Source organism: Homo sapiens, chromosome 1, assembly GCF_000001405.40.
Source record: "Homo sapiens chromosome 1, GRCh38.p14 Primary Assembly".
Lineage (NCBI taxonomy): Eukaryota > Metazoa > Chordata > Mammalia > Primates > Hominidae > Homo > Homo sapiens.
Genome location: NC_000001.11, coordinates 245,845,473 through 245,863,951, shown reverse-complemented (window position 1 = coordinate 245,863,951; position 18,479 = coordinate 245,845,473). Strand labels below are relative to the sequence as shown.

At 44.2% G+C, this 18,479-nt stretch overlaps 1 protein-coding gene across 19 annotated transcripts in view, besides 2 other annotated features; it reads left to right on the top strand.

The window, feature by feature from the left end:
• SMYD3 (SET and MYND domain containing 3) overlaps positions 1-18,479 on the top strand; it is a 757,933-nt gene that overhangs the window by 643,328 nt on the left and 96,126 nt on the right. For all 19 annotated transcript variants that reach the window (NM_001375962.1, NM_001167740.2, XM_047428020.1 and 16 more), the window contains 2 exons: positions 66-153; positions 5,282-5,456. In NM_001375962.1, coding sequence (NP_001362891.1) covers positions 66-153; positions 5,282-5,456 — 263 coding nt within the window. The remainder of the gene's footprint in view (positions 1-65; positions 154-5,281; positions 5,457-18,479) is intronic.
• Positions 9,963-10,463: an enhancer, noted in NCBI's record as "H3K4me1 hESC enhancer chr1:246016791-246017291 (GRCh37/hg19 assembly coordinates)". NCBI's record gives its function as "activates a minimal SCP1, AML or CMV promoter by ChIP-STARR-seq in primed H9 embryonic stem cells {active_cell/tissue: H9 hESC(primed)}" and the evidence as "EXISTENCE:reporter gene assay evidence [ECO:0000049][PMID:30033119]".
• Positions 10,464-10,964: an enhancer, noted in NCBI's record as "H3K4me1 hESC enhancer chr1:246016290-246016790 (GRCh37/hg19 assembly coordinates)". NCBI's record gives its function as "activates a minimal SCP1, AML or CMV promoter by ChIP-STARR-seq in primed H9 embryonic stem cells {active_cell/tissue: H9 hESC(primed)}" and the evidence as "EXISTENCE:reporter gene assay evidence [ECO:0000049][PMID:30033119]".

Here is an 18,479-nt window from a genome sequence, read left to right as displayed (position 1 = left end):
GGTCTATTCACGTCCTTTGCCTATTACTAATTAGATTATTTGTCTTCCTTTTCTGGCCTGAGCAGGATGCTGATATGCTAACTGGTGATGAGCAAGTATGGAAGGAAGTTCAAGAATCCCTGAAAAAAATTGAAGAACTGAAGGCACACTGGAGTATCCTTTCGCCTGTGGATTGAGGTGGACTGTTGGGATTGTTTCCTTGTTTTCTTGAAGCCCTGTCGTAATGAGGTCAGAGGCGGGGTTTGACCTCTCCATGAGCCAGTGGTTTTCATTCTGTTCCATGGTCACAGGCCGCACCTCCGACCCTGGCCAGCAGTTTGAGTAATGACAAGGAAGTTCGTGGCAAAATCAGCGTGAATAATAACTCACTACCGTTAGGTAATAATCAAAACTCATGGCCTAGCAGTAGTAGGAAAGTAAGAATTAGTCTCTTTATATGTAAAAGGTAACAAATTCCTCAATTTTCTTCTCCCATAACCACTAACATCTCTAGGAAAGAGTAGCTTAGAATCCTTATCATTCAGTGCCATTGACCGTCAGACCCAGAAGCTTCATATTAAACCAGCCACGACTACAATGGCAGTGGGGATTGCTGCACGACACATTTTCTCAGCATGAATAGTAATGACCACAGGTGGACCAAAGTTCAGAGTAAGGAGAGACCATGTAGGATGAAGGTCATCTGGGAAGGCTCCACTAATGTTTTACTGTGCAAGATAGCCTGAGTCAGGGGCAGGATTTGGATAGGCCAAGGCTGAGAAGGAGGCCGCTCCTGGTAGAGGAGTTCATTGGAGTGAAGCTGTGATGAAGGGAAACAGCAGGCAAGAAGGAAGAGATCAAGGTGGATGAAAAGACTGCAAAAGGTCATTCAGAGGCTCTGGGGTAAATTTATATCCCAGGCACTAAGAACATAGCAGATGAGGTTTCCAATTTGCTGACGATGCTATTTAAAGAGTTGTAAAGAGCCAGAGAAGGAGGTAGAGGGAGGTTTCCAGTTTTAAAGGTGAAGGACATAATTTTGAATCAATAGCCCACTGAGTTTATTAGCAGTCTTGGGTAAAGAATCTAGGATTGGTTACTAAGGAATGGAAAAGAAAGCTGTGATCATCACAGTGCTGCCTGGTTTCTCCAAGAGCGAATGAATCCACAGAGTCACAGCTTTCTTTGGTAAAGTTTGTATCGAGACTTTAGAAAGGGATTTGACGAAAAGTAATCAAGAAACTTACATTAGATGTTAGCAAAGCTAACTGAATAGCTACACTGAAAAAATGATGTTACATGATTCAGTGTCATTCTGGAGTGTTGTTTTTCCATCTCGGGCCTCTTTAATGCATAATTCCATACCTCGAATGAAGATACAGAGGACAGGTTTATCAAATCTCCAAAGTGACGTAGATGGGGAGGATAATAGAGGTGGGATGATAGAATCAGTATCTCGAAAGAAAAAAAAGAGTTCAAAAGATCTCTAAATGTTTAAATGGTATCCAAGTTTTAAAGACATGAAATATAACAAGAACATATATAAAATTTCTATTCGGATCAAAAAGTTCAAATATGTAAATATGCATAAGAACATGTGAAAAAAATTTAGGGCTTTAGTAAATAGCAAAATTTAACAACATTTAAGAGTATAATATAATCTTAGTACTGTGATCTTGGGCTGCATTAATATTGATTATAAAATGATAGAGATGATAGTACCAGTCTGATTATTTCTGGAATTTTCTATTCAGTTTGAGGTGGGAAGTATTAAAAAGGATATAGAAAAACAAACTAGTTTTGAGGGGTGGAACTGAAATTAAGGAGGGATTTGAAACGCTGTCTATGATGAGATGGAAGATACTAGGAAAACGGAAAACAGTCAACTCTGGAAGCAGGAGGTCCCTGCTCATGGGCTCAAAGAGCCTTTATGTGCAGAGGAGTAGACCTGTTCTGTGTGGTCCCTGGCAGCGGTATTGGGGCCCATGGATAACCCAGCCAGAGTTCAGTTTCAACTGGACAAGGTTTTACTGAAAACGGACTGTGTGCTGGGTACCTTGCTGGTCATCATTCACCTGATGGTTCAGACAGAAGTTAGAAGACACAGCCCTGCACTCACTACTCTCCTATATTGTGGGGTAGTAAAATGTCCATTAATACATATTTTGGTAAAGATACAGACTTATGGCGGCATCAAAGACACAATAGTCAACTTTGGGAAGTTGAAAGATTTCACAGAGGAGGTGACCAGTGAGCTGCGTCTGGGAGGATTAGTGGGAGTTCACCAGACCAACCAAGAGAAGAGGCATCCAACACAAGGAATGACCTGTGCAGACGCGCAGAACATGCATTGCTACTGAGAAGCTGCTGGCTGTGCAATATGAGAGGAGGGGAAGGTGGCAAGGCCTTAACTGCCATGCACCGGTTAGACTTTATAGGTGAGAGGAGGCCATGGGATGATTTTTTAAGCAGTAGAGTAATATGATTAAGTGAATAAAAGCTCTGTGGTCTGACAGTCATTGAATCTCAGTAAGTTGAGTAATTCCCAAGTGAATTTACTTTGCTTCCCTTTCTCTTCCCCTGATCCTCTTATGGTCATTTAAAAGTATTCAGGAAAAAAAGATATCCGTTCTGTCCACTAGGAATCTGTTCTCTTTGGGTGCACTCTCCAGCCCTGCTAGGTCTAGAGCTCAGCTCCGTACTGGAACAGAGTGAATTGTAGTAAACACCACACAGATGCCAGGGACTAAATCTTTGAGCAAATACATGTCAGTAGTAGCTTGGGGGGAAAAGCCTCTTAGTTAAAATTATTCCATTTTTTGGCTCACTGGGGTGTTTTGCAGGAAAGGTTTTGCCTTGTTTGGCAAGAGACAGTTGCCAGCATTGTGAAGGGAAATTGGCACGTAGTCCCTTCCAGCTTGCTGGGGGATAAAATAAATGCATTCCTATGAGTAGCTGCAGAACATCACATCTGGCTTCTACTTCTAAGGCCTGTCACCTCGAACCTCTTTAGAATAAGTGGGAACATACATAAATGAACAGGCAAATAATAGTGGAGGTCAAACAGCACAATGTTAAAATAAGGTACAAGTCTTGCCACAGAAATGTCTAGCAATGTGTAAGAGACAGTCATTCCTCCTGACAGTTCGTCAAATATCTAATCCTGGAATGAAAAGCCACGGAGGTTAGCCCAGCAATCTGTTACAAAATCAGTGCGTTGCCTAAGATACTGCTTCCCCCAACCTCTAGGGGATACATTCAGCAAACTTTGAACATACATGTCAGATGAATGCAAGAGCAAATCATGCACTCGCTTTTCTTCAGGAAATGAACCTTTTCTGGGATCAGGGTCAATTCCTCCAAGACGGGACTCATCCTAACATTGTAGTGGGTGTGATGGAACAGGCTCTCAGCTGTGCATTGGGGTGCTTTAAATTCTCATCAAGGAACTCATCTTTTGGAGTAAGATACTGTGTCTCCGGGAGGCCTTTGCTGGAAAGAAAATACATTTGCTGTGAAAGTTCATAAAGGTATTTGTCTCCACTCTCAGGAGTGGCTTGATTGGTTTATTAGAAGTATTTGCTAATGTTTCAGAAAGCCGTGTTCTGAGAAGGGTATGGACATTCGAAGAGGAAGGTTTTGCTGGACAGAGAGGGAGAGGGGACCATAAACAGTGAGCTGTCTGCTCAGGGCTGGGCGTGCTCTGTTAGGACCTCAGTGAAGAGGGTTTTGAATTGGGGGCAGGGGATGGCACAGAGAGCATGGATTGTAAAGGGACCAGGTCATGTGGGAGTGGGAGGGGTGTGGGGGCACGAAGGGGGCACTGAGTTCAGTCAAACTCAGTCCACTGAACCACTTTCTTTAAGCCCAGTCAGGCTCAGAGGTCATGTCACAGAGGGAAGGTGGAAGGCACTAATGCTTGTGTAGCATGTGCTTTGTGCATGCCACGAAATGTTCCCCACTGTGTCTCTGACACCTGGAACTCTCCCTGGCTCATGAGAGGACACATCATGAACTGTGTCATTTTACATACAATATATTACTCATTCTTACGTTGACGTGAGTCATTTCTATTTCTGGCCTATCATTAAGCACTTTGACTTCCTCAGAACCTCAACTCTGATAAATGACAGGACTCGATTAGATCTGAATCTAGCTTTACTACAGTCAAAGGCTAGGCTGCCATTTCTGATCTTCAAACCTTTTCACCCTACTGGAATGACAACATATGAAGCAGATGAATTTGGAGCTCCACTGGGTGAAGGTGAGACAGGAGTGAGAGAAGGACCAGTCCCAGTCCTGCACCCTCCTTGGTCTCCAGCTCGCCTAACACACCGCACAGTGAAGAAACTGCGAGGTCCCAGGGTCCTGCACTCTGGCCTTCGCTGTGTTTCCCAGAGAATTCACTGGGGAGGGATTAAAATTACGCTCCATAAACCATGTCCTCAGTCCTCTGACTGCCTCTGTAAGACAGGGAATATCAGTTTTAAAAAGCGAAGTCACTCCAAGGCTACATGAGATGAAGTTACTGACTCATGGTTAATCAGAAAGGCAGTTACTGAGAAGTGGACATTGAGTCTTCTCCCCATCCTTTTTAAAGCATCGTTTCCCTTGCCAGCAATTGATGTGCATAAGCCATGTTCCTAATACTGTCTCTTATTTTGGGGGTTTAAAATAACATATTTTAATGTATTTGGTTAAGTACAGGCTGGGGTCACTGTTGCTTTATAATCGGAAAAAATGAGACCCAGTGGAAATCTATGTCTTCAAATTGCTCCACCTAGTGTGTGCCTGTGGGTTGTGTGAGTTTTTGGGTTCATGTATGCCCAAAACTCAGGTAACACAGAAGCAAACATGAGCTCTTCCTTTTGAAAAAGGAATCTCTCTAAAGCATCTTTAATTTCAAACAGTTTTTAAACAGAAGCTAACAGAGTAAATAATTTAAAATCGAATTAACTTAATCTTTAGTCCAATTTAATAAAGGACTGCATTTATTTATGACTAGATTTAAAGAGAACACATCTAGGAGTATGAAGCAAGAACAGGTCTTTGGAAGTTTTAAAACTCCAAAGCACAGGCCTGGTTACGAGATAGTTTGTTGATGTAAACAGAATTCACTTCACTGAGATGCCTCTTCTGTGCTTTTGCTTCTCAAGTGTGTTTTCAGGCAGCTCATCTGTGAAAAATAACGGGTGCTTCCCTCGCTCCTGTGCTTGGGAGCTCTTTAGCCTTTTAGAGAATCTAATTTTGTTTGTTTTTTTCTTGATGAAGACAATGAATCCTTAACTAAGGTTAATAACAGAGTGGGAGCAGGTTCTGGCCATGTGCCAGGCAATCATAAGCAGCAATTCTGAACGGCTTCCCGATATCAACATCTACCAGCTGAAGGTGCTCGACTGCGCCATGGATGCCTGCATCAACCTCGGCCTGTTGGAGGAAGCCTTGTTCTATGGTACTCGGACCATGGAGCCATACAGGCAAGTCCCAGGGAGAGGGCTGACATAAGGGCTAGGACGTCTTCACGTTGGGCAAAGGATCCATGTTGTGAAGTCATTCTGATTACTACTTTGCATGGAGCATTTCCAGCTGCTTCTCAACCATTGTTTAAAACCAAGTCTTATTTTATTCACTCCTCTTGTTCATTCACTTATGCATTCATTCATCATTTGTAAAGTTCCTTCCATGTGTCAGACACCGTGGGTGTACAGAAACTAATTAGATGCTGTCTCTATCTGGAGCAGATGATTACAATACGATGTGGCGCTTGCAGTGACAAAGACGGGCTCAGGGTGGTGGGGGAGCTGTAGAGGAACGCAGGCTCAGACCTAGCTTGAGAGGCTGTGTCATGAGCCTCTGCTGGTCCAGGTGAGGATGGCCATATGGGGCCCTTGGTCTGGCTGACAGTAAGAATGGTCCTTTATCTCTCTCAGGATTTATGCTTTCAGTTGAATCATTTGCCTTCATAATCACCTTGTGAGCCAGGGAGGACAGCAGGGAGACGGCCCTGCCTCAGCTTCTCCTTGAGTCAGGTGAAGGAACTATAGGTAATTGCTTCTTGACTGATCTCAGCTCCTGGAGACCAGTAGGTGTTTTGCCCTGAGATGTTTTTATAACTCAGAAAAGCATTGAAGGGGGTAGTGTTGAACTGCTGAGAGTTAGGCGCTGGTGGATGCTGCACCCTGATTTGCAGTCGGCTGAGAACATAATTCTAGAAGGTGAGACGGAGAGCAGCCCAAGGGGAAGGGCACGGAGACATGTGGACCATAATCTGAGGTGGGAATGGCTCAGTCTCTAGCACAGAACAAGGTTGCTGGCGGGAAGGTACCTCGAAAGCACCTGTGACCAGGAGCGATGGCAGAGGGAGGAGGTCCCTGGAGAACAGGGGCTCCAACCTGGGCAGATCTTTAATTTCCCAGCTTTGCAGACTGTGCAAATACCATGTCAGCCCAAAGGGGCAACGTAGGACAACAGGCAGGGAATGGCTGTAAGCGAAGAGGAGCAGGTGGAAACGTGAGAGTCCAGGGTACTTCCTGTTCCCGCTAGAGGGAGAGGAATTTCCCAGGGTCAACATAAGAACAGAAGTGAGTCCAGGGTCTAGGATATTTGTTTGGACAAAGGTAGTAAACCAGAAATGAGGTGTTTGGTCAGGAAGCCAGGCGTGAGCCAGGAGCTTGGTGCAGTCCACAAGGACCCCGAAGACGGCAGAGGCTCCACCAGCCAGGCGGATGGCAGAGGTCCCTGGCCAGCCAGTGCCACCAGCCTGACCCTGAGCATGTTTTCGGGACTTCTGTAGATGGTTTCCTCCACTGCCTGTGGGTGAACAGCTTTGGAATCCAGACTGTGAGTCAGCTTTAATCAAATGTATGAGGGATTGGCTTGAGGGCTGAGACTGTAGACTTTCCCATGAGCAGTGAAATGCCTGCTCAGAGTGATCGATCTTGTGGGTTCTCGGAAAATACGAATCGCATTCAAAGAGATAAGGCTTCCTCTCTGAGCCTTAGTGTTGCAAAAAGAGGCAGGTCAGATGGTTGGCGTTACCTCTCTGAACTCCAGGGCTTGCTCTGAGGAAGCCAAACAGCCTCTGGGTGAGTGGATAAACTCCATCCAAAAGATGCAGACTGAAAAATACCCTTCTTTCTCCAGGCCCCCAACAGCAGCTGCTGGTTCCTCACTCTTGGCTAGCGCTGCACTGATTCTTCTGCCTCATCCTCCCTTTCGACACTCAGGCTGCCCTGCTCGGGCCACTCTTAAGCACAGAAACTTTACATGGGTCCACCACATCCATAAAGAAGACCACACACCTACACGGGTGTCTGTTCTGCACGTATTTTGCAACCTTCTCTTCCCCACATCTACCAGGGCCTCTTTGAGGCACTAACTTACACCTTAAGTAGCTGGCAGTTTGACTGACTTTAAACAAAGAGGCCTTTCTTGTAAGTGAGGCCAAGTCCTCCACCAGAATACAGTCCATTATGTTTGGGAAACGTTTGGTTATATTTACATGGTGTTTGGCAGGTCACAATCTCTTTAAGTGTGTGCTGTGTTCTTATGCTGGGTGACAAATTTCCAAGCCTCCCTTGGTTTCTCTTCCCTGGCGTGTGTTGAGTTGCTTTTTGGTGGTATTTCAAGAAATCCAATCTGCATTGATCCACTTCACATGAGTGAGGTACGAATCATTTGCTTTTAAAGCTGTAGTTGAGGAAAAGGCTATAAATAAACCAGAACCAACAAAGTTGAGAGAAATGGGCAGGTTAGATGTTGTCATACTTTGCCTTTTTCCCCTTTAGCTCAGGCAGAGGTAAAAATAAGGAATGTATGCAAATAGGTCAGGTACCCTGCAACCCTGTTAGCAATTTTGGAACAAAGGCAGGAATGGAGAAGTTGGCAGTGGTTTTCACCTCTCACATGTGCATGAGGGAATTCACACTGAGTGCTCTCAGCCCCCCGCATCGGCTCCCTGCAGACGCAGGAGGTGGGCCTTTTGCTCACCTTTAGCCAAGGACACAGACAGTTAGCTAGGCATGAGTTACCAAGGGATGATTGCATTGCCATCTGCTGTAACAGTTTTACAATGTTAATATATTGTTTGCAACAACTAGATGGAGGTCAAGTCTTTCTTGATGATTTTGTCACTCCTGACCTTGGCTAAATTTTAATTGCTGACCTTAGAGGAGAAAGTGCTGCTATTCCATTTTAATCCAAATTATGGCCTTCAGCTCCCTTCTTGCTACTCTCATTTATTTTTACTCAATAGATTTTACTCAGTTTTTATGACGCAACTCAACATTACATCCTTCATGTTTCATAAAACAAGTTAGAAATCACATACAACAAAATGTATAATGTTTAGTATTAGCCCATAGTATGTCTTCTGATAGTATCGGCATATATATGTGACTAATATGGAAACTCATCTGTCCCTTAGCATTGTAAACAGGAAGTAGAATGAAGATAATTTTAAAATACTTCATAAATTTTATTTAAAAGTTTAACTTAGTCTAATGTTAATTCGCCAATTAGTAGTTCAGAACTTGGGATGCATTTTCCTATTAAAGATGGTTACAGATTATGGTGATGTCTCCAGACTAACCCATGAAAGTCTACTCAGCCTTTGATAGCACCACTGTATGGGCTATAAATTCCCCCCCCAGCCCCTAAAAACGGAGAGAAAAATACAAAATTGAGCACATTGTTTTAAAATTTTTGTGCGTCGAATATTAATTAAATTTGACTTTTCTTTCGGAACTAGAGAGTGATAAGGAGATATAGAGGGTGTTTCCGGCTTTGAAGAGGACTTTCAGGACATTCGCCCGTTCTGTTCATTTCTGTTGCGAGATTAACATATGCTTGTAGGGAAGGACAATTTAAGAGGACAGAAAGGTAAAAATCAGCCTCATCTTCAAACTGTTGTCCCACTCCTTAAAGATAAACATGGCTAAAAGTTTCCTTCTGGAAATGTTCCGTGTGAGAGTGGCCGGTCTGAATATATTCCAGAGCCAGATAGACCTCCGTCTTAGCATGGTGTCAGAGGATTGAAAGTAAACAGTAATCCTAACCTTCGCCAGAAAACATGAACAATGGTTCCATCATAATACACAGAATGTTTTTTTAAAGCCCTGCTTCCCCCATTCCTTTTATTCTGCTTTCCCAGTTACTCTCAACTCTCTTCCCTTCAGAACTGTTCACGTGGGCTCTTCCACTTTCTCCTGCACTTCTGCGTTTTTCCTGCTTGTCTTGCTGGGGGAAAGACTCATTTCCAATAGGTCTTTTAAATATGCCTGCTGAGGTGGTGTATGGAGGAGTGGGGATTAGAGAAAAGGAAGGGAAGCCAAGCCAAAGGTCCTCCTTAGTGTGCGGGAAAAAGAGAGAGAGAGAGAGAAAAGGATAACTCCCTAGCCCATGTTCTGTAACTTTTTTCACTTTACAAGAGAGTGTAGACATCTGTCTAGATTAGCTCCAGATTAGCTACCTTATTCTTTTTAACAGATACATAGTATTTCATCTCATGGATATGCCATAATTTTTAGATCAATCTCTGTCGTTTCCATTTATGTGTACTGTGTCAAACAGTGCCATGATTAATTGAATCCATAGGGTAAATCCACATGAGAAATTCCTAAGTGGTAACTTGGTACATCAAAAGTTAGGTCCCCCTGCTCTTAAAGTGAAAGTTATATTTATTTTAAATTTGGATAACCATTTCCAAATTGTACCTCCCCCACCACACACACTAAAATGTCACTCTTTCCTCAAGAAAATATGAGAAGAGATGACGTTGACTTCCGTTGTTTCTGATCTAAAGCCATTTCAAAACGTATTAGGGCCTTCATCTCTTCTTTCATCAAAGCCCACATTATAGGGTAAGATTTGTTGATATTAATTTTGTTGTCCATAAATAGTATTTTTGTGCTGGTGGGAATGACACTTTTGTGACGTACCTGGGAAAAAGGCAGAAGAACAAGAATGATGAAGAGACTTAAGTTGTGATCAGAGAAAGAGGCAAGGGAGGTGGGCTATGAAATCTCCATCAAGGAGAAGAAAGCTGATAAGAGTGAGATTTCAGCTCAGATAGTTTTCTGTGCTTTGTTGTCAGAAAAAATGGGGGCAGGTGGAGAGAGTGGAAGTATAATGCAGCTGGTAGTTTGTGTACCTGCCATGGTTACAAATCAGGGGTTTGTAACTGAGAGATTGTCAGTTAATTACATAGCAGCCCCATTCGTTTTTAATTTTGCGGGGGATTTTTTTTTTCTCCTTTTTTTGAGAAGGTTTGGAAGATAGGTTGATAAACTATGAGATTTCCTCATAACAGTACCTTCTACTGTTTTCAAGCAGGCTTTTCTGAAGAACTCCAGTTGTTCTTTCATGGGTTTTTGTCAGTGTGACATTCTGGTACAGGAGTCTGCAGAGCTTGCCGGGTACATGTTATAGTGGGAAGACCTGAGCGCACGTTTGGTGCAGCCACGCGCCCAGCGCTTGCTTTGGGCCTGCCTTCCTGACCCCGCATCCCAGGTGCGTATTACAGTGGGAGGACCTGAGCGCGCGTTCGATGCCGTCACATACCCAGCGCTTGCTTTGGGTCTGCCTCTCCCAATCCCGCATCTCTCCTTGTTGCTCAGATGTTGTTAGCTTGCTCTCTGAGGACGCTTGTGTCATTGTCTCTGACAACGAAGCTCATTCCTAGAGGGCAGGCTGGGTCCTTGGCTGTTGTATCTAGTTTAGAACTTTTCCTAATCCATGCTCATGGAGTAGGACCTAGAGAACAACTCAGAGCCAGTTCTCACCCCAGAAGAAGAAATAACTATCTGAACTTCATCCAACATTCTTTCCACGTATGTTGTTTGCCATTTATTGTCTCTGATGAGATTTAGAGAATTATTTCACCTGATAAATGAATAAATGTTTTCTTCTCTGCTTATTAAAGTGAACAGTAATCTTGTAGCCACTTAATCATGTTTTCCATGCTGTAGTTTTCAATTAAAGTATCTTTAGTGGAAGACCCTCGATACAAGACTCTGAGCTCTGTATGTGCGTGTGTTCGTATGTGTGAAATACTGAATTATCTGGCATGCCTAATCAGGGCCTCTTTCTGTTTGCTGTCCATTTTGTAAGGTTTATTTCTTACTGGGACACTGGGGCCGTGATCACCTGCACAGTGATGGGCGAAGGGTCCGTCAAGACCCAAGCATTTTTAAAAACTTTTAAATATAAGCCTTTTAATTTAATTCTGAAAGACTTTCTTAATGCAGAATCTAGACATAAAATCCAATGAAAAAGGAGGTGAAAGAGGGGAAAATAGAGAAAGAGGGAAGATGAAGAAGAAGGAAAGAAGATATGACAATGACTAGTAGATATTTATTACACCACTGACTTGCGCTTAGGCCTCATTACTTATGTTTTACTTTTATGGATAATCCAAGGCTAATATGAGGGTTTAGGTAGGAGGTAATGGAGAACATTATGACCGATTTCTCTGGCTCTTCTTTTCTTGGAACAAGAGAAATGAGAACATCTCTGCTTCAGCCATCTACTCCTCTAAAGTACCTTGACTTCCTTTAGCCCTAATCACCTTGCTTGAGATGCCACCTGTACGTTTGGGTAAAGACCTTCATTGCCCAGCTTTGTGGAGTGGTTCCAGCACTGAACCTACTGGTTGGTGTGAGAATGACCCAGCCTTGTAGTCTTACTTCTGGAAGAAAAATCTAGGACACTCTGTGCATGGAACTGGCATAAGCTCTGGCCCTTCAACACCTCTGAAAAAGAGGAGGCAGGGTGCCTTGGGCCTACTCCTTCTCCTGAATGTAGCAGCTCTTCTGACCATTGCTGTCACCTCAGGCATTTGAACAAGTGTTGCACATTCTGACAGAGCTTTGGATGACAGCAGACAGGCTTAGGTGATCTGGCAGCTTCACATACCATGCCTTCATCCAGCTTGCCTATTTCCCATCTGTCTTAAGGATGAAACAAAATGATTGGGTGCTGCTGATGTATGTGTAGCCCCTACTGGGAAGGGGAGGTGACCCATTCATTGCTTCCAACATGCTGCTGCACATGGCAGAACATGCATAAAGCCTGTGCTTTCCGTCACCTCCTGGCCATACATCTCTATAGTGTTTCACTCCTGGCTAGTAGAGGCCACTACTCAACCATCTTTCAGAGGACCCCATCTTCTGTTTCACTCTGGACAGCATTGCCAGAACCTGCTGCTGAACTTTATTCTGGTAACTCTCCCTGTAGCAAGAGTGCTAGATATAGTCCACAGCCACTTTCAGACAAGAGAATTGAGAAGCTGCTTGTTCCTCCCCTGTCCCCGTTATGAGCTCCACTGTGCAGCTGTCGTCCTGCCCCAAGTCTGTGTGTGTCTTTCCACATCAATGCTAGCAGGCATGGGGCTTTAGGAAATCAGATCTCTGTAGGAACCTCCATCTTATTTGTATGCAAGAAGTCGAATATGGCCTTTAGATATGCCTTGGCCGGTAGGAGACAGAGCAAGAGATATCATTTGGACTAAAGAAGCCTGCCCATCTTCTCTACCTGATTCTCAGCTTACTGCATGGCCTCCTGGATGTATAGATCATAGTTGATTTGAATGGGTACATCTCACATTCCTGGGTCAGGCACTTTTACTCATCCTTTTCAACAAAAATATTTATGGAGACCTACCTACTTAAATGCACTGTGGTAAACGAAACAGGCAATACAAAGTCCTCATTCTGGTGGAGCTTACAGATAGCCTTCAACAGCCAGCTGAGGGGCACCTGTGAGCATCTCCAGAAAACCAGGCCTTTGACAACCTGAGGAGGAATTGCTGGACCAAATCCGGCCTGGCCAGTGATGGACAAGGTTTTTAGAGTGCTAGAGTAGGAGGCCCTGCAGTGGATCAAGTACTTATCTCTCTTGGAGGTCCCCGATTGATTTTCAGGATTTCATTCATCATTCTACTATTTTAAAGCCTCATATAGAGAATCTAGTGCCTCTGATTTCCCAAAGCCCTCCCTATGGCTAAACCCCTGTTTAGCTCCACACTGTCATCCTCTGAGCTGGAAGGGTACCCAGAAGCCAGGGCCAGCATGCTCAGGCCTTGGAGTGACTGGCGTAAAGCTGGAGGCTGTGCTCATGACCAGCTTGATGGGTGCTAGTTGGCCACCAGAGGATGCCTTCTCCCAGAAGCCAGCAGTCCAGGGGACACTGATGGGGGAATATCATCATTTGACATGGCTTTGTTTATGCAGCTATTTTAGGGTAGCCTCATTTTGTTTTTATTTTGTTTTTTGAGACACAGGGTCTTGCTCTGTTGTCCAGGCTGGAGTGTAGTGGTGCAAACACTTCTCACTGCAGTGTTTACTTCCTGGGCTCAAGTGTTCCTCCCACCTCAGCCTCTCGAGTAGATGAGGGGGGACCACAGGCACACACCCTGACACCAAGCTAATTAAAGAAATTTTTTTTTGTAGAGGCAGGGTCTTGTAATGTTGCCCAGGCTAGTCTTGAACTCCTGGGCCCAAGTGATCCTCGCACCTTGGCCTCCCAAAGTTCTGGGATTACAGGTGTGAGCCACTGAACCCAGCCTGGGATAGCTTTAGAATCAAACTTAAACTCTCACCTACCTTTACTATAAAATAATGTGTAAAATAGAGGTTCTGCCCTGAGAAATAATCTGCCTAAAACACTTTCGGGTTCTTTATACACAGTTACAGCTGACCAAGTGATTAAGTATCAACAAAAATTGTGCAGTGGCATTTCTGAGAGCCCCAGGACCGTGTGGGGTGGAGCCAAGAAAGCCTGTAATATGAAGTTAGTGGCTTTACATCTGGCCAGGGCGACCTGTGACAGCATGATTCCACTTGCATTTCTCATTTCTGCCCCTCCTTTGCCTCCCATCCTTACCTGGGACAAGGATATCAATTCCTTTTTCCCCCCAAACCCCAAGTTATACATAATTCCTACCCATTTTTATACTCTTCCCTGGCTATGCCAGGACCCTGGAAACCCATACCTTTTCTCTCTGTCATCAAGACAGTGAATAGGCCGGACACAGTGGCTCACGCTTGCAATCCCAGCACTTTGGGAGGCCAAGGCAGGCATATTGCTTGAGTCCTGGAGTTCAAGACCAGCCTGGGCAACATGGTGAAACCCCATCTCTACTAAAAATGTGAAGATTAGCTGGGAGAGGTGGCATGTGCCTGTAGTCCCAGCCACCAGGGAGGATGAGGTGAGAGGATCGCTTGAGTCTGGGAGGTCAAGGCTGCAGTGAGCTGTGATCACGTCGTTGCACTCTAACCTGGGTGACTGAGCGAGACCCTGTCTCAAAATAAAATAAATAATATAAAATAAAATAAATAAAATAAAGATGGTAAATAGCAGAGCTCCTAATTTCAAATCAGAAGTGATAATCCTGCACTATTACCACCTTAGAGAGGCCCAAGTTCTGGTAAGAAGTACACTGATCAACACTGGGTTCTAGAGAACTCTCCTAAGTGGCAGTGCCACCTGACTCCCCTTTTGGTCCATACACATAACTCATCTCTGCTGGAAGTTGGAAGATCTGCCCCCCAAACCCCCTCAAGGTAACTGGAGGTCTTCAAACCTTTATCTTAAAGCACGGTGTAAAATATCCTCCCGATGCCAAATTCCTCCATTTGACTTTCACCAAATCCTGCTCTTTCTGATAATCCAATCCCCTCTTTTAACACTCAAGCTCCCAGTCAAGAACCATGTGCTAAGGGGAGCTGCTGGATTTCCTGTAACAGCATGAGTCATTCTAGGTAGCAGTAGTCTACTGGGAAAAGTTCAGACCAGGAGGGAGCCACTAGAATCTACTTTGTACCTTTGGATAACTTCCTAGTGAAAGTTTTTGTCCAACCTGGAGGGACCCCAGTCCTGTGCCTCCTTGGTTGCAGTATCCAAGGAAAACAGAAGTTCCCAGCTATAGCTTTCACCCAGCCCATAGATGCTCGTGGTCCTAAAAGGCTTCCTGAACTCTAATGTTTTAGATACTAATTCCAGGATCTGTCTTCAGAATCCATTTGTTTTTCTGTCTGGCCTATCCTCCTTGGAGATATTTCATTCTGGCTCATATACTTTCTCTCTGCTCACTGTCTACCTTCTACATTCTCCTCTGCTGCTCCTCCCTACCTGCAGCAAGGATACCTGTTTCCCTTTACTCCAAAATCCCACAGCTGTGGACCAACCCCACTTATTCCCCGTCTACCTTGCTTGGCTCTTGAGCCACCAACCCAGGCCAGGACATAAGAAATACCTTTTGTGGGCCTAGCACAGTGGCTCACACCTGTAATCCCAGCACTTTGGGAGGCTAAGGTGGGAAGATAACTTGAGCCCAGGAGTTCAAGACAGACCTGGGTGACACAGCAAGACTTCATCTCTACTAAACATAAAAAAAGTAGATGGGCGTGGTGGTGGTTGGTGCCTGTAGTCCCAGCTATTTGAGAGGCTGAGGCAGGAGGATCCCTCGAGCCCAGGAGTTCGAGGCTGCAGGGAACCACCACATGCTCCAACTTGGGTTAAGAGTCAGTCTCTGTCTCTTAACAACAACAAAAAATCCAGTCAAGGTGGCTCATGCCTGTAGGCCTTAGCACTTTGGGAGGCCAAGGTGGGCAGATCACTTGAGCCCAGGATTGGGACCAGCCTGGGCAACATGATGAAACCCTATCTCTACCAAGAAATACACACACACACACACAGAAAAAAATAACTCGGCATGGTGGCTCAAGCCTATAGTTCCAGCTACTCAGAGGCTGAGGTGGAAGGAAGGATCACTTGAGCCCATGGAGGTCGAGGCTACAGTGAACCATGTTCATACCACTGTATTCCAGCTTGGGCAACAGCATGAGACCCTGTCTCCAAAAAAAAAAAAAGACTTTATCTCTGTTGCATTTGCCTGACTTTCAGTATAAACAACTTCCTTGTGGAATAAGATGGAAGCCACACTCCACTCCTGGGACTAGGTCACCTGAACAGGAAAACATTTAATTGTTTGTGGTTCACCAGTATGTATGGGGCTAGGTCACCTGAACAGGAAAACATTTGTTTGTGTTGACCAGTGTGTATGAGCAATATATATGATTTGAGAAATTGTGTTTAGGCTTCCTATGTTGTGAAAGCATTTCCAGAATAAGACATTTTCCATTGTAGTTCAATTTTTTTTTAACTTGAACAAGCCATCACTGAGCACTTTGACTTTCCTGATAGAAAAATTTTCAGTTTCTTATTACAACAAATTGTACTCTAAGCAGCAGGATACCAAATTCCTAGGGAATCTTTTGGGATGCATTGAATTTCTCCTGTTGAATCAGTCTCTTGTTTGGCTTCCGTGCAGCTACCAAGCTGCTCTCTTTTCTTTTTCTCACCTCGTGGAAGAGAAAGTAGGAAAAAAAGAAATCCCATTTCCCCTGTAGGGAGCCAAAAGAAATCAGGTGGGCCTGAAAAATGGGTAATGAAGGATAAAACTTTGAATGACTCAAACACATTAAAACCCATTTTAATTTTATGTAAAGGACACACTTCATAATTTTGAAAATATGATCAGCACGCTTACATGCTACTTGTGTATTTTGAGTGAAGTTCATATAGAGTTTTCAGAAACTCCCGAAGGATAGATGGATGGGACTTCAGTTACAATGCAAACATAAAACTAACTTGTCAGACCTTATAATATTTGATCGCTTGTAGAGAAGGATAATGGCATTTATAATGAGCAGTAAGAGGTCCTTGAAAGAAATAAAAAGTGGGGTATAAATGACCCCCAAAATTACAGTTATTTAGAGCAAGGAAAATATCTTCTGGGCTGGTTAGTATAAAGCTCTTGAGCTCGTGAGATAGAATGGAAAAATGTGTACTATTCTTATTGTTAGATGTGTTAAGGGAAATGGCCCAGCCAGGTTCTGGGGAACTGAAGTAGCAAGGGTGGCCAGCCATAGCCTTTGAACAGGGAGAGAGCAGGGGCTTGGGAGTAGTGAGAGGAGTGGAGACAGTGCCCTGCTCTGCAAAGAGGGAAACAGATGATGGAAATTGCTCTTCCTGCATAAAGGACACCAATCATAATAACACTGCCCTTCAGTATGAAAGAGGAACAAATCTGCTCTCACCTGTAATTGGAAATAGCACCGTAATGTCCTCCCAACGTGAGATAAACTGGATTCAACAATCATAAAAGCATCTGCCAGCTATTGGTTAGCATCATCTTTCTAGGGGAGTAGGTGAAAGGACTTTAAGGACTCTACCTTTCAACTTTCTTTAACTGAAAAGTAATTGCTGTTATTTATTAAGAGGCTACTGTGGACCAAGCAACTTGCTTGTCCTTCTAATCCTCACAGCCAGAGTGAGAAGGATGTTAACCTCTCTTGTCCTCTGTGGCAGAAGCTGAGGCTGAGACTTAGTAACTTGCACACTCCATGACGGAGCCAAGATTCAAACTCAGGCCATGGATTCATTTATTTTATTTTGGCTATAATTTTTTAAAGCATTTGAGTCAGCCTGAACCCAGATTGGCTTTGTTAGAAAAGTATAAACTATTACTACACTACAGAGGGCTCTAGTGGTCTTTCCACTATACCATTCTGTTTTCCTACCATATGACTCTGTGATGCTAATTTTAATACAAGTAACAGAAATCCACCTGAGCACCTTCACGCAGAGTAGAATCTGTTGCCTACACACTGCACAGCCAGCCACAGATCTACTGCGATGGAATTCAGGGATGCAGTCTGGGCCGTCGGACTGACGTCTGGCTCCTTTGCTTTCTTGCTCTTGCGTTCTTTTTCTCTCCCTCCTTCCTTCCCTTCCTGGATGCTGTCCTCATTCTTCCTCACAGTCTTGTCCACAGCGTGGTGAGACAGATGGCTTCCAGCAGCTTCTTCCCCCCCACCCCATTCATGTTCTGCTATCTGTATAACAAAAGAAAAAGTTCTATTCCCTCCAGCTCCAGATTTAAAAACTGTGTATTTGGGATGGATGGCTTTGGCCTTTGTGGGTCTCACACCCAACCCTGCCTGGACCGAGGGAGATGAGGTGCTGGCAGCCCTGCCAAAAATGCAGGTTTGAAATGGGACAGACATTCTTGAAAACCTAGGAGGGTGGGTGAACTCTGGACAAACCAGAAGAATAGATGTCCACTGTACTATTCCACTCAGAAATAGTCTAATAAACATTTCAGATAGAAAACGACTCAAAGATGGTAAAGAGAATCCAATAAAAAGACTGATGAAAGGACAATTACATGAGAGAGAAGGAAGCAGCAGCTCTCCGCCATTATGTTATGCACTGGGGATTGAGCTTTGCAAGAGCAGGTTCTTAGAATTTCCAAGGGAACAGCAGGACCCACTTGGACCAGAGCACAAGCCAGCCATTTAGGAGGAAGTCTGAGAGCTGGAAAAGGAAAAGATGGATCTCTAGAAAGCAGCTGAGGTCCTACCTGGAGCAAAGAAATTATGTCAGGACCTGATGTACCTGATGGCAGTGTGTGACATACTCTATGGAGGTTCTCCAGT